Raw genomic sequence first — 21,843 nt, 5'->3', positions numbered from 1 at the left:
ATCAACAAAATTGATAGACTGCTAGCAAGACTAATAAAGAAGAAAAGAGAGAAGAATCAAATAGACGCAATAAAAAATGATGAAGGGGATATCACCGCTGATCCCACAGAAATACAAACTACCATCAGAGAATACTATAAACACCTCTAGGCAAATAAACTAGAAAATCTAGAAGAAACAGATAAATTCCTCAACACATACACCCCCCAAGACTAAACCAGGAAGAAGTTGAATCTCTGAATAGACCAATAACAGGCTCTGAAATTGAGGCAATAATTAATAGCTTACCAACCAAAAAAAGTCCAGGACCAGATGGATTCACAGCCGAATTCTACCAGAGGTACAAGGAGGAGCTGGTACCATTCCTTCTGAAATTATTCCAATCAATAGAAAAAGAGGGAATCCTCCCTAACTCATTTTATGAGGCCAGCATTATCCTGATACCAAAGCCTGGCAGAGACACAACAAAAAAAGAGAATTTTAGACCAATATCCCTGATGAATATCAATGCAAAAATCCTCAATAAAATACCGGCAAACCGAATCCAGCAGCACATCAAAAAGCTTATCCACCATGATCAAGTGGGCTTCATCCCTGGGATGCAAGGCTGGTTCAACATACGAAAATCAATAAACATAATCCAGCATATAAACAGAATCAACGACAAAAACCACATGATTATCTTAACAGATGCAGAAAAGGCCTTTGACAAAATTCAACAACCCTTCATGCTAAAAACTCTCAATAAATTAGGTATTGATGGGCCGTATCTCAAAATAATAAGAGCCATCTATGACAAACCCACAGCCAATATCATACTGAATGGACAAAAACTGGAAGCATTCCCTTTGAAAACTGGCACAAGACAGGGATGCCCTCTCTCACCACTCCTGTTCAACATAATGTTGGAAGTTCTGGCCAGGGCAATCAGGCAGGAGAAGGAAATAAAGGGTATTCAATTAGGAAAAGAGGAAATCAAATTGCCCCTGTTTGCAGATGACATGATTGTATATCTAGAAAACGCCATCGTCTCAGCCCAAAATCTCCTTAAGCTGATAGGCAACTTCAGCAAAGTCTCAGGATACAAAATGAATGTGCAAAAATTACAAGCATTCTTATACACCAATAACAGACAAACAGAGAGCCAAATCATGAGTGAACTCCCATTCACAATTGCTTCAAGGAGAATAAAATACCTAGGAATCCAACTTACAAGGGACATGAAGGACCTCTTCAAGGAGAACTACAAACTACTGCTCAACGAAATAAAAGAGGATACAAACAAATGGAAGAACATTCCATGCTTGTGGGTAGGAAGAATCAATATTGTGAAAATGGCCATACTGCCAAAGGTAATTTATAGATTCAATGCCATCCCCATCAAGCTACCAATGACTTTCTTCACAGAACTGGAAAAAACTACTTTAAAGTTCATATGGAACCAAAAAAGAGCCCACATTGCCAAGGCAATCCTAAGCCAAAAGAACAAAGCTGGAGGCATCACACTACCTGACTTCGAACTATACTACAAGGCTACAGTAACCAAAACAGCATGGTACTGGTACCAAAACAGAGATATAGACCAATGGAACAGAACAGAGCACTCAGAAATAATGCCGCATATCTACAACTATCTGATCTTTGACAAACCTGAGAAAAACAAGCAATGGGGAAACGATTCCCTATTTAATAAATGGTGCTGGGAAAACTGGCTAGCCATATGTAGAAAGCTGAAACTGGATCCCTTCTTTACACCTTATACAAAAATTAATTCAAGTTGGATTAAAGACTTAAATGTTAGACCTAAAACCATAAAAACCCTAGAAGAAAACGTAGGCAATACCATTCAGGACATAGGCATGGGCAAGGACTTCATGTCTAAAACACCAAAAGCAATGGCAACAAAAGCCAAAATTGACAAATGGGATCTAATTAAAGAGCTTCTGCACAGCAAAAGAAACTACCATCAGTGTGAACAGGCAACATACAGAATGGGAGAAAATTTTTGCAATCTACTCATCTGACAAAGGGCTAATATCCAGAATCTATAATGAACTCAAACAAATTTACAAGAAAAAAACAAACAACCCCATCAAAAAGTGGGTGAAGGACATGAACAGGCACTTCTCAAAAGAAGACATTTATGCAGCCAAAAGACACATGAAAAAATGCTCATCATCACTGGCCATCAGAGAAATGCAAATAAAAACCACAATGAGATACCATCTCACACCAGTTAGAATGGTGACCATTAAAAAGTCAGGAAACAACAGGTGCTGGAGAGGATGTGGAGAAATAGGAACACTTTTACACTGTTGGTGGGACTGTAAACTAGTTCAACCATTGTGGAAGTCAGTGTGGCCATTCCTCAGGGATCTAGAACTAGAAATACCATTTGACCCAGCCATCCCATTACTGGGTATATACCCAAAGGATTATAAAACATGCTGCTATAAAGACACATGCACACGTTATGTTTATTGCGGCACTATTCACAATAGCAAAGACTTGGAACCAACCCAAATGTCCAACAGTGATAGACTGGATTAAGAAAATGTGGCACATATACACCATGGAATACTATGTAGCCATAAAAAATGATAAGTTCATGTCCTTTGTAGGGACATGGATGAAGCTGGAAACCATCATTCTCAGCAAACTATCGCAAGGACAAAAAACCAAACACCGCAGGTTCTCATTCATAGGTGGGAATTGAACAATGAGAACACATAGACACAGGAAGGGGAACATCACACACCAGGGCCTGTTGTGGGGTGGGAGGAGTGGGGGAGGGATAGCATTAGGAGATATACCTAATGTTAAATGAAGAGTTAATGGGTGCAGCACACCAGCATTGTACATGTGTACATATGTAACAAACCTGCACGTTGTGCACATGTACCCTAAAACGTAAAGTATAATAAAAAAAAGAAATAATAATAAAAAAATAAAATAAAAAAATCACTGATCATTAGACAAATATAAATCAAAACCACATGACAAGTAGCCCAAAACTTTACAGAGTTGCCTACCAGGGTCACTGTAATGGAATTTATGGTCTTAATAAATTACTAGTTGTATCATTAAAAAAAAAAGACTGAATTGTAAAGTTAACTTCTAATAGCTTGCATATAAAATAAAAATGGACAGGAGAGAGAAGAAAATGGTTAACATATAGAAATAAAAGCGTACATATAAAAAGCAAATAAAAATATTTAAAAGTGAAAAAAAAAAAAGATCTGAACTACTTAAAGATAAGTAATTCATGTGCAGAGTGAATTACTTACACGTCCCTGCACAGACTTCACTGGGTCGCTTATGCTGCTTTCTCGGCCTGGAAAATCTCTCTTTCATTTGCCTCCCTCCACACTGAACATTCTCATTTTCAGTTCAAAACTTTCCTCTTCTGTGCAGCCTGTCCTGACAATCCCTGGCAGCATTAAAAGCACCTTCACTTGGTTCCCATTAACTTCATTACAGTCATTACCACTTTAAATTGTAATTGTTTGTTTGCATGACTTCCCACTACAAAGTAAACTCTGAGAGCACGGCTGTGTTTGCCTACCATCTTTGATCTTAAATACACATCATAATGCTTGGTACTTGGTACCCTCAATAGATACCTGTTCAATAAGTTGCACAAATAAATTATAATAACCAAAATTGAACTGAAGAAGTTTTAAAGTAAAGGAGAAGCCTTTATGTGCACAGTAGTCAGCAATGCTTCAAATGCCAGCAGGGAGCTATGAATGAATTGGTAACTCAGGCAGTATCAATGAATCCTAAATTCACTCTGCCAGTGTGACAACCAAGACCTATTTACTCACTAATCATACTTCACTACCCCCATTCATATTTTAAGAGTAACTATATAACAATAAAGGGTGCAACTGAATTGGATTTTAAAAACCTCTCTTCCAATTAATCAGATATCCAATAGTAATCAGGGTCTAGCTGTGACAAAAACTAAAATACAATTTAATGCAAAATAGAGGTTTCGTAAATTCTAATGACAGAAGAAACTTCATGAGGTAATCCAGACCTCCAGATTAGATAACCTCATAAATGATATGCTCTTTTCCATCTTAAAAGATAGTAAAGGTATTTTACAAATCCCTTAACACCTTGTTCTAGTATCTTAATCCTTTAGAGTTCAAGGTTTTTCCTAATGCCTAGAATAGTGTACTCCTAGTAAGATTAAGATGAAATGGACATTTTCTTAGACTAACCCTACCATAAGTCACTCTTAAGCCTTGTTTTTCCTGGGCTTAAGAATTCTATATACAGTTTGTAGCATTTCTACCACAATAATAATAGGCACCAGTTAGTGAACACTGAGTATGTCCAGGCATGATGCTAAGAGATTTTCATGCATTATCTCATTCAGTCCTCATGAAATAACAACTATTTTATTATGCCCATTTTATTGATGGGGTAACTGGGCTTTGAGTCATTAAAAATGTGCAAAAAGTTGCTCAGCTGGAAACTGGGAAGTGGCAGTGACCATTAGAATAAGGTCTGCCTGATTGTAGGAACTTCTGGTCACTATGCTTTCCTCTGTAGTTTGAGCTCTTTCTCCGTCTCTTTCTACTATTCTACATACTCTCCAATTCCTCCATGTTTCACTGAAGTGGAGAAGAATTTAGTGAGTTTTATAAGTCTGTCTATTGTGATTTCACCACATTAGCAGGTTTTTTTAAAATAACACTATATTATACAGATTTGCCAACTTTGTTTTTCCAGTCAAAAAAATTAAACCAAGTTTTTATCTTCACCTATGATATAAAATATTGTATGCAAAAGTTATATATATACACACACATATAAGCATCTTTACTTTTGAAATGCACCAGTGTTGATCACACGCCAATAAGGAAAGCATTAGGAATAATGCAAATCTTTAATAATAAATATTATTATTATAAATAATAATAATAAATAATAGAAAACTGATGTTCTGATGTTAGGAAATAATACCATTGCAATAAGTATTCTATATGACTAGCACTGCTATGGATATGAATAAGTAACATTTTCTTTTTTCTTTTTTTGAGACAGTCTTGCTTTGTCCCTCAAACTAGAGTGCGGTGGGGTGATCTCAGCTCATGCAACCTCTGCCTCCCAGGTTCAAGCAATTCTCCTGCCTCAGCCTCCCAAGTAGCTGGGATTGCCTGGCTAATTCTTTTCGTATTTTTAGTAGAGACAGGGTTTTGCCATGTTGGCCAGGCTGGTTTTTAACTCCTGACCTCGGCCTCCCAAGGTGCTGTGATTACAGGTGTGAGCCACCGGCCGGCCAGTAACGATTTCATAACACTGTATGTCAAGCACTGTGGTAAGCACTTTTAAAACATTAATAAACATCGATTAATGTGGTGAAAAATGTGTTCAGAGGCAATGAGGCAATGTTATGGACTAGGCAGCCATAACTTTTGGCAACTATTAATTCATTATTATGTTAATGGCTTTGTTTGACCAGACTGCACACTAAGAATTTCATTCACATGGTTTTATTTTTCCTGTTTATTTGGAATTCAGTATTTACCTTCATATTTTTTACAATAAACTTCCAACTGAAGGCTCCACAAATAACTCGTGAAATACCTTACTACTGCATCATTTTAGTAGTGATGCTTAATTTTTCAGATAAACTTAGCACCGCTCCTTTAATATGCAGGGTTCCTAAGATGTCTAATATAAATCATAAGGTTTGAAACCAACAGACGGTTGGATTTTCAAAATAGCCTGAGCCACAGCTGCCCCTTTGTGTTAGCATCCGGATTAACAGCTGATATACCAGTTAAAATACAGTGAGCCATCACTAAGATTAATTTTCTCAGTTAATTATCCCAAAGCTTCGTCTAACTTTGGCAGATGTAAAGAAGTAAGCTGAGAGTTCCAATTATTAGTTGCTTTTCATTTTTATTAGGGGCATATAACAACAAATTTTAAACATTTTCTTTTTAGAAGGCATGTTTCATCAAAGAAACATATAAAGGGCACACTTAGGATGCAAAAAGAAACAAGACTGGAATTAGAGTATTTAGCAAGTCAAAGGTTCCACTTTTTCAAGAACATTATACTTTCTTAGGTAGGGTGACCTAAGTCCCAGTTAAGCCAGGATAGTCTTGGTTTTCTTCTTTTATCCCAGCCTAGTAAGTAATAGATCCCCTTTTACACTTAAAAGTATACCATTTAGATGATAAATCATATGGTCACCCAATTTGTATGTCATAAAATAAATAAATACCTTGTAGTCAGCTCTTATTAAATAAATTACTCCATAATTTTAACAGAGAAAATTTCTAACTGCTAAGTTTTCAAGTGGAAAAAAAAGTATACAGTTCTCTCAGATAATAAACTGTTTTTTCACTGTTCCCTCTTCTAAAATGCTTGAAATAAATTCATCTTAATCGGTCTAAGTAGAGATGAAATTTTCTTAATCATATCTCTGTGAGCCTGTGCAAAGAAAGAAAAAAAAACGCAAATGTTTTGGTCCTGCCTATCATACAAGAGACATTCCTGTATTACATAATATCTATTTCACATAATGATGATTTTTAAATGAGTCATTTCACATAGATATGCTCCTGTCTGTCTGGGGCATTTTTATACTTGTTACATTTTTACCACATAATGCTCAAATGGAAATTAAAGGAGGGGAAAAAATTAGAGAGTTATCAAACCAATTCATATTTAACATGGAGATAGCTTAATAGCCATCAAAATTAATTTATGAAAGTGTTGAAAATACTGATCAAAATTAAGTTAACTATCTACAGATTACACTTTTTCATGGTTTCCCTGGACCCATGAACTAAAGCAGAGGTTTCTTTTAACGTTTTTGGCCTCAGGACTCCTTTATACTCTTCAAAATGACTGGCAACACCCCTACCCATCCACCTAGAGCTTTAGTTTATGTGGGTTATATTCATAAACATTTACTAAATTAAGATAATTGTGGATATTCTTTGATACTATAGCAAAACATGACAAGCTATAGTTTCTTCAAGTTTAGTTGCAATGTAGAATCTTAAAACATACCAAGGAACTTTTTATACTCTACATTCTTGATCTATCTTGAATTTTTAATGGATCTTTTCTCCATGCATGACTTTATAGTAACATGTATACTATAAAAATCCTAGAAGAAAACCTAGGAAATATCCTTCTCAACATTGGCCTTGGCAAAGAATTTTTGGCTAAGTCCCCAAATGCAATTGCAACAAAAACAAAAATTGACAAGTGGGACCTAATTAAAGGACTTCTGCACAGCAAAAACTATCAACAGAGTAAACAGACAACCTACAGAACAGGAGAAAATATTTGCAAACTATGCATCCAACAAAGGTCTAATTTCCAGAAATTGTAAGGAACTTAAATCAACACGTAAAAGAAAAAAACTCATTAAAAAATGGGCAAAGGACATGAACAGATACTTCTCAAAAGAAGACATACAAGTGACCAACAAATATATGAAAAAATGCTCCACATTAGTAATCATCAGAGAAAAGCAAATCAAAACTGCAATGAGATATCATCTCGCACCAGTCAGAATATCTATTAATAAAAAGTCAAAAAACAACAGATGCTGCTCAGGCTGCAGAGAAAAGGGAACACTTACATACTTTTGGTGAGAATGTGAATTAGTTTTGCCACTGTGGAAAGCAGTTTGGAGATTTCTCAAAGAATTTAAAACAGAGCTACCATTCAACCCAGAAATCCCATTACTGGGTATACACCCAGATGAAAATAAATTGTTCTACCTAAAAGACACATGCACTCATATGTTCATCACTGTGCTTGCTATTCACAATAGCAAAGACATGGAATCAACCTAGGTACACATCAATGGTGAACTGGATTAAGAAAATGGGATACATATACATCATGGAATACTACACAGACATAAAAAAGAACAAAACCATGTCCTTTGCAGCAACAATTAAAAACACATTAATTAATATCACCCCCATCTCCCTAGAAAAGTCTTTAAGTATGGCTTGGCAAGGGACATAAGGACACTTTGAGGAGTAATGGAAAGTTCAGCATCTTGAAGGCAATAGCGGTTTCACAGGCATGTGTATATATGTAAAAAGTTATCTAGTTGTATACTTTTAAGTATGTGCGGTTTTGCATATAAGTTATACCTCACAGAGAATGTGATAGATAAAAACAAACTGGGAGGCCAGGCATGGTGGCTCACACCTGTAATCCCAGCACTTTGGGAGGCCACTTTGGGAGGCCAAGGTGGATAATTTGAGGTCAGGAATTCAAGAACAGCCTGGCCAACGTGGTGAAACCCTGTCTCTACTAAAAATACCAAAATTAGCCAGGTACTGTGGTAGGCACCTGTAATCCCAACTACTTGGGAGGCTGAGGCAGGAGAATCGCTTGAACCCAGGAGGCGGAGGTTGCAGTAAGCCAAGATCACGCCACTGCATTCCAGCCTGGGCAACACAACGAGACAGACTCCAGCTCAAAACAAAACAAAACAAAACGAACTGGGAAAATGAAGTTCATTATCCTACTGTGTGCTCTGTCAAGCACCTGATAATATATGTGAGTTTTCCAAAATTTCTATTTTTGCTTGAAAGCTTGAATTTTATGATTAGCAGTAAATAATGTCAGTTGTACTTGCTGTGACAGGTTTACTTGTTTATTTGCAAGAAAATGCCTGTCAACACCCAAGTATGAAAACAAGTTTGTCCTTCAATCATTCTTCAAGAAAAAATGGTGTTCCATGGAAGAAAGGGGCTACTTTAGCTCACAGCTTAAATAATCATGCAAACACATTTCTTTGGGTCGACCTACTTCAATATGCAGCAAAAGTGCCTCAAGCATACCTCCCATTTTTGTTACACAGAATATTAAAAATACATATACTCAGAAGTTGAGATTAAACGCAATTAATAATTTTTGCTACTCAGCAAGAACATTCTTACGTGAAACTGCCTTTAAAAAATTTTTTTTTAGTTGCAACTGTCTAGATTCATACTGGCCATACACAGTTTTATTCACCATTGCTTTTGCATGTAAATGTTAACCCAATGGAAAAGACAAATAATGTCTTATTATTTTTATAAAAATAGTTTTGTCCTCGCTGACCCCCTAAAAGTATCTAAAGGACCACCAGGGATCCATGGGCCAAATTCTAAGAACTGGTGAACCTAAAGTATATTTTAAAAGAATTTAAAACCCAGGCCGGGCACAGTGGCTCACACCTGTAATCCCAGCACTTTGGGAGGCTGAGGCAAGAGCCCAGGAATTTAAGACCAGCCTGGACATAGGGAGACCCCGTCTCTACAAAAAATAAAAATTAAAAATAAAGTAAAAACTCAACAAAAGTATAGCCTTGTAAATGATTAGAATACTAAATCATGTGTAAGATAAGCACAATGAGGCACATATTCCTACTGCAAAAAGCAAACTAAAAAAAAGGAAGACATTCATGCACATATCTATCGCCAATGCCCCTCTCCACTAAGTGAGCATATTGGATTTAAGAAATACACACATTTTCAAATTCAACATTTTCAAATTTTATTATGTATCAAAGGTCCAGGTTTAAGGATTCTAGAAAGCTCAAAACCTTTTTTTCCTAGCTATGCCTTTCACCCAATGAAAAAATTAATTTCCTTCTCCTCCTACGCCTTCCTGCAGCATCAAACAATGGTTACTATCTTCCATAAAGGAGATCCCCATGCCTACATACTAAAACTGGGCAACATCCAGATGTGGGCAACTCATCTCTGCCCTGGCCCCTAAGGGTAAAGGAGCACTGAAGATAAGGACGTCAGAGTCAGAGAAGAGGGTCTCCTCAGTCAAAAGGGACTCCAACCTCAGAAGCAAGGCAAAAGGTCTTTTCTTTTTGGCTGAACTACTGCCCTCATATGACTACTAGAAATCCCTGGGTGAACCACAACAAGCCTTTTAAGACTAGCAAGCCTTTTAAGACTGATCTAGGCTGTCCGAGTGTCTTAAGGGTGATTCTCAAAAAGCAAGGACATCTAAATGGAATAATTCATTGACTCTACTCACTCAGAATTATCCTTAGTGTTTCAGCCCATAAAGTCTGAGCAGGCTATCCCGTTGTTCTGGCCTATTTAGCATTGGACACATTCTGACTAAACTACAGCTATATGGCACTAACTTATCTAGAACTCTTTCCTGGTCTATCACCATGTCAATGGAGATCTTTGCTTCTTCTGTTTAGTTTATGCTTGGCCCAACCCTATCCTCCTCCTGGCCTCTTATGCTACAGTCTGAAATTAATTAACGGTCTTATCTTTAGGACTCGGTCCTGTGTTGTTGAGTATTAAACATCATCCTTGTTTTAGTGTATGTACCGCTGAAGCAAGCACAACATCATTCTCTTTTTATCTCACATTTATCTACTCAGTATTACACATTCACTGCCTCAGTGTATGTAACTATGTCCATCCCCTCACCAACTCCTCATACCCGCAAACCTAGCAACCTCCCACTCTGCAGCTTCCTCAGCTAACTCCACTGTGGGTTCAATCAAAGTGTCATCTATCACTATTAATGCCTCCACCCTGCTTCCCAATCCATTGCTTCTCTTTCATTGTATCAGGTTGGTGCAAAAGTAATTGTGGTCTTTGCCATTAAAGCAATGAAGACAATTGCTCCAGAAAGTCTCCTTTCTCTATTGACTATCGCTCTGCTCCTCAATCTCATCCCATTCAGCTGAATTCTTTTACTCCCCTATCCCCCTACTCTCCTATTAAATGGTAAAATTATAAGCTTCCACTGTGTCCTATCAAATCCCATTACTGTTACAGACAAGCCCTATTCATCTATTCCTCTGCCATTTCTCAGATGTAGCCTTTGCTGTCCGGTGCTTCTGTATCACTCTTAAGGACTGTGTCTTATACTTCTCTGTATCACATGATACCCGAGAGAGAAGTAGGCACATCGTACATGTTCAGTAACATTCATTAATGTTGAATAATAATTATTAAGCAAAGAAACAAGTGTTCCCAGAAAATAATTCTGTTTCTACCTCTGCTTGCAGAAGTTATAAATATACTGGACTGCAAACAAACAAACAAACAAAAAACGTCTAGACCTTTCCAAATTCCCCACTGCCTCCTGTAAGATATGTCTGACAGCTGAAAGTAAACTAGTCTTTGCAAGCACTAAATTGCTCATCAATCTTACAAAAGGTGTCATTTAGTCATTTACATTCCCAAGGGAAATACAAATGGAACACAGCTGCCTGAGAAAAATTAATTCACCCAACTCGAGTAAGTAGCTCACAGAGAACAGCTTTCATAATCCTAAAATATCTGAATCATATTTCATTCCTGGTTTTCACCAAAAAGAAGTAGGGTTTTCACCTTTTTATTAATTATTTGAATTTTAGCTGATTAGTGCAGTGCGGTTTGCACAGTTATAGCCCAATGACAAGCAGGCATAATGTCACCCAAAGCTTTGAGCATGAAACAACCAAAATGTACCTTTTCTTATATCTGAAAATAGGAATGTTGCCACCATATCCGACCAAAGTCTCCTAATGCTCCACATAAAGGTATACAATGGCAGAAGATTAAGAGGAAAATGTTCACCATAGAAATGTAAAGCAGGCAACAGCTGGCAGGAGGTACAAACTCAGATGCTCTCAGGAGCCAAGTAGGCAGTGTAAAGGTAAACAGATTTGTACAAGAACAACAGGGTAAGTGGGATGATAAAAGATAGCTACGCTCAAGGTCACAATGCCTATTACTCCATCCAGGAAACTGTAGTGCCATGCAAGAACGTGAGACCAATGTGGTAATGTGGGCACCTCATCTGATTGTTCAGAAGAAGGTGGAAATCCAGATTTAATATAAAATCACACTAGTATTGGCAAGTAATTTGAATTATACAAAAACAAACAAAAACCCCTGTTCAATCAAGTACATGTAAGGCTGCTAATCAGTGATTTCTGAGTCACACAGTAAAAGATGTGATGGGGTGTAAAAGAAATCCTAGAAAATAATTTCTAAAACTAAATCCCTACTTCATGTGCACTAAAAATGAACCAATTAATGGATAAAATTTAAAATGCATAAAATAGAACTGGATTTATGAGTTTCTCCTGTGTGTATGAGAACCTATATTAATGATCATATCAGGTAAATTAAAAGCCTACATGGAAAAACAAAAACAAAAAAAACTAGAAGAAAATATGAACGAATATATATCAAATCTTTGGTTTGAAGATAATGCTAATCATAATGGTCATGAAATAAATCATAAGAGAAATTTTCACCTATAATTTGATAAAACTTAACACTTAATATATAAAGTTCCTTGTCCAAAATTAAAAGCAACATAATACCTGGAAAATATTTGAAGCCAATATGGCAAACAAAAGGCTAATATCTTTACTCTCAACTCACAAATTGGTAACAGAATCCAGAAGAAGAAATCCCAACTCCTTACGGATGAGGATGATTTGTGGTTGCCAGTTCCTAACTCAGTTCAAAGCAATGTACCCTGTGGGACCAGGGCTGTGACAACCACAAAACCCACATGGGCTTCTGAGGGGAAAACATGCACAATAAGATGAGCTCCAAAAAAAACTTAAAAAGCACTAGAGGAAATTGAGGGCCACAGAAGACCAACTACAAGAATTCATTCCCAAGGAATCACAGAATTTTTTTAAATATGAAAAGAACTTTAAAAAATGACTGTATTGAAATCCTCAAAGACATGACAGAAGAATTAATATCCATGAAGCAAAGAATAGAACAGGAAAATATGAAAGTAAATCAACTGGAGGCCAGGTGCAGTAATTCACGCCTGTAATCCCTGCACTTTGGGAGGCACAGGTGGTGGATCACCTGAGGTCAGGAGTTCGATACCAGCCTGGCCAACATGGCAAAACCCTGTCTCTACTAAAAATATTAAAAAAAAAATTAGCCGGGCATGGTGGCGCACACTTGTAGTCCCAGCTACTCGGGAGGCTGAGGCAGGAGAATCACCTAAACCCAGGAGGTGGAGGTTGTAGAGGTTGTGGTAAGCCAAAATTAAGCCATTGCATTCCAGCCTGGGTGAAAGAGCAAGACTCTGTCTCAAAAAAAAAAAAAAAAAAAAAAAAAAAAAGTGAATCAACTGGAAACTTTACAAACGTAGCATATATACTAACTGATTTTTTTTTTAAGATGTCTTAAATGGTATAACAGAGATGGCTGAAGAGATAATCAGTGACTTGTAATCTAGCACTCTCCAAGAATGTACCATTAACAAAGATAGGAAATATGCAAATCTAATGAGGGCTAAATTATCTCCCCAGAAAAATTCACACATGTACCTACATACAAAGTTTTATGAACAATATCAGGAAGTTCTCAGTGTCCCTGAGGCCCAATTTCTATCCTAGAACTCTGAATAATATCTTAAGATCAGAAATCTGTCCCACGGTATTAATGTATACCATAAAATGTTGGCTCAAGCCTCAAGAAATTGACATTAAATTTGAGTTAGGATCAAATCAAAGAGAAGCCAAACCAAGGTAGGCCAATTAAATCTGATTAAGAAATAAAACAAAGTATCCCAAATCTAATATTGTTATAAAATATAGGTAAGATTGATAAAATCAATAATATCTATAAGCAAATGAACTCTAGTGTACATTAAACTTGGTTAATTATAACAATAAATTATCACTTTAGATGCACATATGATTTTAAAGTTTATATTGTCATCGCCAAATGTGACCCACGAAAGCATTTGTAATAAGCAAAAATCATTTTTTAAAACAATGTGAAATGATTGGCTTGGGGATACAAGATTGGCAGCGTTTGAAAAAGGCAAAATTGTTTTGAATTAGAAAGTGTAACAGCAATAAAGAAGCTTGATGGAAAGATCTGGAGAAACTACCTCACATAAGGGGAAATTTAAAGACTATAAACTGAAAAAGAGCAATGAAAGCGAAATCTCAGTGGCTTGAACACAGTGATGGGGGGTGGTAGGCTGAATAGAACTGTCCAGTGTCAATTTAGGTAATCTATGATATAAGCTTCATAATGCCAGTCCTGTAATATTTTCAGCAATATCAACATATTCCTAATTTTTTTAACAGGAATGAGAAAGGTAATGAGGCACTGCAATTCTTATAAGGTTGGCCTTGTAAGAGACCTTATAAGGTTGGCAGAGAAGATAGGGGAAGCTGGCCAAAATCTGTCCTACACAAGAAGTATCTAAGTTTTCCATTTACAATGAACCTAAACAGAAATGTTTGGTCCTCATCAAAACTTGGATGGAAGACAGCTCTCTTACAGAGATTCTGAAAAGATGAAAATTCTCCTTAAAATAGACTTGAGATGTTTCAGAATATAAAATTCAAACGACATACTGAATATCTTCTGTTTAAAATAGCTGAAGTCTTTGAAAGGTAAAATGAGGACCTCTGAAGATGTCTAATGAAAATTTGGAAGTAAAATTGTGTCTCTTGAACATTTTTAAATGCTTTAATAAACGTCAGTATTAAGATTCTTTCAGGATGTATACATCCATAGGTGTTCTTCCAGCTGATTTGGAGATAAATTACCTTGGTTAAAGACCTTGCAATATTTAGCTACATATACAGGCATACCTCAGAGGTATTATGGGTTAGTTCCAGACTATTGCAATAAAGCAAACATTGCAATAATGCAAGCCACATGAATTTTTTGGTTTCCTAGTACATATAAAATTATGTTTCATTATATGCAGTCTATTAAATGTGCAATATTATATCTAAAAAATGTAAACATTTTACTTTAAATACACTTTATTGCCAAAAATGCTTACAATCATCTGAGCATTAAGCAAGTCATAATCTTTTTGCTGGTGGAAGGTCTTGTCTGTTGATGTTGATGGTTGCTGACTAATCAGAGTAGTACTTGCTGGAGGTTCGAGTGGTTGTGGCAATTTCTTAAAATAAGACAATAATGAAGTTTGCTGCATCAATCGACTCTTCCTTTCATGAAAGATTTCTCTGTAGCATGGAATGCTGTTTGATAACATTTTACCCACAGTAAAACTTCTTCAAAATTGGAGCTGATTCTCTCAAACCCTTTAAAGCCACTGTTTTATCAATTAAGTTAATGTAGTATTCTAAATCCTTTGTTGTCATTTCAACAATGTTTAAGGATCTTTACCAAGAGTAGATTCCATCTCAAGAAACCACTTATTTTGTTCATTCATAAGAAGCAACTCATTATCCACTAAAGTTTTATCATGAGATTACAGCAATTCAATCCCATCTTCAGGCTTCACTCCTAATTTTAGTTCTCTTGCTATTTCTTTTCTTTTTTCTTTTTTTTTGAGATGAGTGTCACTTTGTCACCCAGGCTGGAGTGCAGTGGTGTGATCTCGGCTCACTGCAAGCTCCGCCTCCTGGATTCACACCATTCTCCTGCCTCAGCCTCCCGAGTAGCTGGGACTACAGGCGCCCGCCACCACGCCCGGCTAGTATTTTTTGCATTTTTAGTAGAGACAGGGTTTCACGGTGTTAGCCAGGATGGTCTCGATCTCCTGACCTTATGATCCGCCCGCCTTGGCCTCCCAAAGTACTGGGATTACAGGCGTGAGCCACCGCGCCTGGCCATTCTCTTGCTGTTTCTATCACATCTGCAGTTACTTCCTCCAATGCAGTCTTGAATCTCTTCTCAAAGTCATCCATGAGGGCTGGAATCAACTTCTTCCAAACTCCTGTTAATGTTGCTATTTTGACTTCCTCCCATGAGTCATAAGTGTTCTTAATGACATCTAGAATGGTGAATCCTTTCCAGAAGGTTTTCAATTTGCTTTGCTCATATCTATCACAATAATCACTATTCATGGCAGCTATAGCCTTACAAAAATATTTCTTAAATAATAAGCCTTGAAAGTCTAAATTACTCCTTGATCCATGAGCTGCAGAATGGACACTGTGTTAGCAAGCATGAAAATAACACTAAACTCCTTGTACATTTCCATCAGAGTTCTTGGGAGACAAGGTGCACTGTCAATGAGCAGTAATCATTTGAAAAGAATTTTTTTTTCTGAGCAGTAGTTAAAATACTCAGTAAACCATGCTATTAACAGATGTGCTGTCATCCATGCTTCGTTGTTCCATTTATAAAGTATAGACAGACTGAATTTAGAATAATTCTTAAGGTCCCTAGGATTTTTGGAATGGACAATGAGCACTGGCTTCAACTTAAAAGTCACCAGCTGCATTAGCCCCTCACAAGAGAGTCGGCCTGTTCTTTGAAACTGTGAAGTCAGACATTGACTTCTCTTCTGTAGCTATGAAACTCCTAGATGCCATCTTCTTCCAATAGAAGGCTGTTTTGTCTACATTGAAAATCTGTTGCTTTGAGCAGCCACCTTCATCAACGACCTTAGCTAGATCTTCTGGATAACTGGCTGCAGCTTCTGTATCAGCACGTTCTGCTTCACCGTGCACTTTTATGTTATGGAGACAGCTTCTCTCCTTAAACCTCATGAACCAGCCTCTGCTGGTTTCCAACTTTTCTTCTGCACCTTGCTCACCTTTCTTACCTTTCACAGAACTGAAGAGAGTTGGGGCCTCGCACTGGATCAGGCTTTGGCTTAAGGGAATGTTGCAGTTGGTTTGATCTTCTATCTAGACCACTAAAACTTTTTCCATATCAGCAATAAGGCTAATTCACTTTCTTTTGATTTGTGTGTTCACTGGAATAGCACTTTTAATTTCCTTTAAGAACTTTTCCTTGGCATTCACAACTTGGCTAACTGGTACAAGAAGCCTAGCTTTCGGATTATTTCATCTTTCGACATGCCTTCCTCACTAAGCTTAATCATTTCTAGCTTTTTTTTTCTTGCATGTCCTTCCAATGTATCATTTCTAGCTTTTGATTTAAGGTAAGAGATGTACGACTCTTCACAGGGGAATGAATGGCTGTTCGGTGGAGCAGTCGGAACACACACATTTATCAATTTGGTTTGCTATCTTATATGAATACAATTCATATGGTGGTGCCCCAAAACAATAACGATAATAACATCAAAGATCACTGATCACCATAACAGATATAATAATAATGAAGTCTAAAATACTGTGAGAATTACCAAAATGTAATTGACACAAAAAGAGCACATGCTGTTAGAAAAAATGGCCCAGAAAGACAATTGATACAGGGTTGCTACAAACCTTCAATTTCTTAAAAATAAATAAATAAACTGTCTTTTTAAGGCAATATCTGTGAAGCACAATAAAGCAAAGCACAATAAAACAAGGTATGCATGTATTTGTCTTCTTTGAGTATTTTCATGTTACTTTAAAAGCATATAAATCAGGTTGTCTTGAAGTTCACAGTTTTAAAAGAATAGTGTCTGGTTTGAAATAATAAATCTGAATCACAACAGAGCTGGCTGCTTTGAAATACGTTCACATTGCAAAAAGTGGAGTATAGCTCTATTCTGGATGAAAGATCTCCCTAAGTGTACACACTTTCCACCTGGAAACACAGTTTTATATGAGTCTGTCTCATCTCCTGCCATCTGACAGATGCATTTATGTATGAACCTTATGCCTCCCCTCAAAACATCTTTTTTAGGGAAGAAAGTGAAGTTTTCAATTTTTGCAGGCCACCTATATTTTCTCTTCTCAAGGTGAAACTTTCTGGCTGGAATCATTTTATTCGTAATTACAAGCAGCAAATACAAAATGCCAGTTGTGGAAGGTCATGGAGGCCTTCCCTGGAGAAAATGTTTTCTTCATGTTCATGAAATAAAATTAAATTGAAATGATTTCTAAATCAATATTTCCAGACTTCATTATAATTATATTTAAAGCCAGAAGTATAAAAACTACAGGTAGTAAAGTCTTAACTGATCAATATAAATATGAAAAATGCTCTAGAAAATTTTCAATGTATCATTGTCAAAACATAATATTTAGGAAAGTATATCATTGAGAAAAACGTATACAACTAAGTTTAAATATTTGCCAAGATAAAAGTGATGCCAAAAAAATTAAAAATAAAGATAATAAATAATTTTTAAATGACACTCACCAATCACAATGGAAGATTCACAGTGATAATAACCATTACTTTGTTTTTTCTTCAGCATGGAGCAAAGATCTATGCGATATAATATTTCTTCTCCAAATCTGTGACTGATAAACTTTTCATATAAATCAGGATCTATTTTTTTCACTCCCTTGAAATGAAAAAACAAATCAATCAATCAATCATTTCACCCATGCAGCCAGTTCATAACTACATCACTTTCTTTGAACCTGATTATTACATTACTACATTGTTACACCACTGCCTACTGGCACTTGAAATGGATATACAACAATAAAATTGTTGTGAAGTTGTTTTTCAAGTCTCCCTACCTAGAAGGAGTTGTATTAAAAAACCATCAATAAAGAGTGTTAGGTTTAAATTTGGCAGTTTTCAGAACTTCATACATTTTAAGCTCCAGAAATAATAAAGTATACTGAGTTAAAATGTTGAGATACCAAGGAAAGACTAATCATCTCCAACAAAAATGGAGAAATGGATAATTTTTTTTTTTTTTTTTTTGAAATGGAGTGTCACTCTGTCACCCAGGCTGGAGTGCAGTGGCGCGATCTCGGCTCACTGCAACCTCCACCTCCAGGGTTCAAGTGATTCTCCTCCCTCAGGCTCCTGAGTAGCTGGGACTACAGGCGCGTGTTACCACACCTGTATTTTTTCTGTCACCACAAAAAAATATTTTTTGTAATTTTAGTAGAGACAGGGTTTCACTGTGTTAGCCAGGATGGTCTTGATCTCCAGACCTCAAGATCTACCCGCCTCGGCCTCCCAAAGTGCTGGGATTACAGACGTGGGCCACTGCGCCCAGCGAAATAGATACATTTTTTTAAAGTAAGGTAGAAAAAATAAAATACTATAAATCTTTAAAAAGTAAGTTGGATCTTAACATTTTATAGTGGAAAAAATGCCCTAATAAGATGGAGGTAATTTTTAAATTTCTTATGTAAGAATCATCTGAAAGACAAGATTACTTGAATTGGAGCAGGGAAGTCAGTGGATCTTCCAAATTCTTCTCTATCTGCTCCTCCTTACTTTCAGTGTATTTTCTTAGCAGAAACAGCTGGTTGTTGAAAAATTACAGTGGGATGCCCTTGGTACCTCTGTAGTTCCCCAAAACATGGGAAAGAATATATCTGCCTCTGCTATACTATACAATGGCCCTGCAACTCAGCCTCAGAGTCCCAAAATACAGTCCATAAGATTAAAGTAACTAGAATATATATTTTCTCTTTTCAATGACAAAAACTTATTTAGAAAACTAGTTAATGGGAAAAAATTTATAAAAGCAAAAATATTAAATCACTACAAACTGCCACTGCTATAATTTTATGTGTTTAGTTTTTCCTTGCCAACACAAAGTATATTTTTTCTCTTCTATAGAATGTGGTTGTTCCCTGAGTACTATTTGATAACCAGCTTTATATTTTCAGCAAATATGCTGTGTCATAATATAATAATATACAGATGTGCCAAAATAATATACAGATGTGCCAAATATTTTTCTCCATAGTACTTCATTGCATGAAAGTCTCATAATTTATTCATCCAATTATTTACTGTTGGACATTTAGGTTGATCTTAATTTTTAATATCATATTAAACATGTTTCTATTGATGCATGTTTTTGTTCAATGTCTAAAACTGGACTCCTAATCTCTCCCCCTTACCTCAAAGGGTTCTGTGGACTAAGTAAGTCCATTTATAAAAGTGCTTAAAACAATGAAATATAATAAATTATATAGAAACACACACATACACACAGTCATTATCATTAGTGAACTTTATGTAATAACTTCATTCGAGATAACATTTCAAGAATAAAAACATTCAAAGTAAATGGAAAATGAGCAACGATTCTTGTCTTCTAAATGCTTGTGTGTGTGTGTAGGGGTGTGCAGGTTGGAGAAAGTCATTCCTTCAGACTGGAGAGAAGACTGGCAATAACACAGCAGACAAATAAGAACCTTCAATTTTCAAGAAACCAGTGCAGCACCGACTAGCCACTATTGCTATAATCTTCACTTCCGTTTTGTAAAATGTCATTTTTTAAAGAAATAAAACATGAGATTGACTCTAATCTTCTAGGCTTATTAATTTAATTTCAGCAAAAGGTAAACGCTAACTGTTTTGCAAGAATTTTTCACAGATGATTTCCAACATGAGTCTTTAGGAGTTAATTTTTACTAGCAAGTGAAACAGAATTAATTCCTTAACTCATAATTTATAGAGAGAGCTATGGTTCAAAAAGGCATGACGCCTTTTGAAGGCACCGAAATTATATGTCCTGATCAGAAAAATCTTCAGTAATAAACAACCTAGAAATAGCTAAGCCTCTGCATTGTCTGATATATATCACAATTTCAACATGATCGTCATTCTCTGGAGAAATTTTTTGTTTGGCAATATATTTCTTTTCTGATAAAATTTATCTGAATTGATCTCACCATCCAGCTGCAGCAGGTGGCGTTTTCTTTCATACTAAAAAAAAAGGAAGACTATGATTCTGAGGAAATAAATGGGACCTCAAAAGTGGATCATTTAGGGTAAGCCTAAGAAGGGACCTATTTTCTGAATGAATCCACTGGGATGGCAAAATAGTTTCAGAAGCATCATCCTCCCAGATTATATTTTAAAGCTAAAAAGGCTGCGTGGTGGCATTATTTTCAGGTTGTGGACCCCCAAAATTATTCTCTGCTTCCCTTCATCATAGGCCAGACCCTTCATCATAGGCCAGACCCAAGGCACTATTACTTAACTATCAATGGAGGTATACAATGTTAGGAGAGTTCAAAAGATATCATGAAAATTGTTAAATTTGATCTATAAAGGCTAAGAGTTAGGATTATTTCACATGTAGAAGAAAAATATGTGAGGTATCTTTAACAAATCATGCTATGGGTGTTGCAACCCTGGAGTTTTGAATATGATTGTTGATGGTCTAGTCCTTAGAAGGTTATTTTTGCCTTAAACCTAACAAGGAGGAGGCATATTTTTAAGAGCTTCATATTTATAATTGTATCCAGTATAAGTGACATTTCAATTATGCAACGTAACATTAGAAGAGAAAATAGGAGGTTAAGTATGGAATATCAGACTTTGAAACAATAAAATAGTGGTAAGAAACGTCAAACAGAAAAAAGTTTTCAAGACTATCTTAATTAATCATTAGAAATGACTGAAGTTTTAACTTATCTTTAGCCTAGTTTCAGTCACAGTTTAGGAAAAATTATCAGCGATGTTCAAATACACTTGATAACCTTTGATACAATGTACCGGGAAACAGGAATTTCATTCTTGGTTGTAACTTGGCACTCAAACAGTCCACTCCAGAGAAAATGCCATTGAATGCATGACGAGTATTTTTAGAATCATCTGATGGCTCAATCTGATAAGTAATGGAAATTATTTACTCAGGAGGCACTCACCATATCATTTACATTTAGCTAAATGATGTGCATAATTTAATATGTACCAAAGAGGGCTCAGACTTACATTACTATGCCTCTGACTCTATTTTTAATACAGGAAGTAGACAGACGGTCACAAAACATGGAAATTCACATTTGCTAATCTCAAAGTGAAAATCATTTAAGATTCTAAAAAATAAGATACACTTATTCATCTTTAATTTCTATGACAAACCTTTTGTGGTCAGAATGGAAATCAATATTAAGAAGGTCGAAACATTTTTGTAATAGAAGATAACTTCTTATTGTTACTTGTTATAGCAATCACAATGTCCATGATGAAAATATAAACAGGCTTCATATAAGACAAAGAAATTATCTGTCCTACTGAT

General features: G+C 36.1%; 1 protein-coding gene across 22 annotated transcripts in view, besides 2 other annotated features; it reads right to left on the bottom strand.

Moving 5' to 3' along the window:
- Positions 1–21,843, bottom strand: part of AKAP7 (A-kinase anchoring protein 7) — a 157,906-nt gene that overhangs the window by 45,692 nt on the left and 90,371 nt on the right. For 16 of the 22 annotated variants that reach the window (NR_164833.1, NR_164832.1, NR_170717.1 and 13 more), the window contains one exon: positions 18,033–18,180. Coding sequence is in view for 15 of the 22 variants with exons in the window: in XM_017011509.2 (XP_016866998.1) it covers positions 18,033–18,180 (148 nt within the window). In the remaining 7 variants the exon portion in view is untranslated. The other 6 variants (XM_047419569.1, XM_047419572.1, XM_017011506.2 and 3 more) reach the window with 5 other exon arrangements.
- Positions 7,122–7,291: an enhancer, noted in NCBI's record as "experimental_89836 CRE fragment used in MPRA reporter constructs". NCBI's record gives its function as "activates a minimal promoter by MPRAs in K562 erythroleukemia cells, with activity observed for the non-introgressed 6:131551775 variant allele {active_cell/tissue: K562}" and the evidence as "EXISTENCE:reporter gene assay evidence [ECO:0000049][PMID:34662402]".
- Positions 11,141–11,900: an enhancer, noted in NCBI's record as "OCT4-NANOG hESC enhancer chr6:131547081-131547840 (GRCh37/hg19 assembly coordinates)". NCBI's record gives its function as "activates a minimal SCP1, AML or CMV promoter by ChIP-STARR-seq in naive H9 embryonic stem cells {active_cell/tissue: H9 hESC(naive)}" and the evidence as "EXISTENCE:reporter gene assay evidence [ECO:0000049][PMID:30033119]".

Source organism: Homo sapiens, chromosome 6 (genome assembly GCF_000001405.40).
Source record: "Homo sapiens chromosome 6, GRCh38.p14 Primary Assembly".
Taxonomy (NCBI): Eukaryota; Metazoa; Chordata; class Mammalia; order Primates; family Hominidae; genus Homo; species Homo sapiens.
This window is presented reverse-complemented; position numbering and strand designations above follow the sequence as displayed.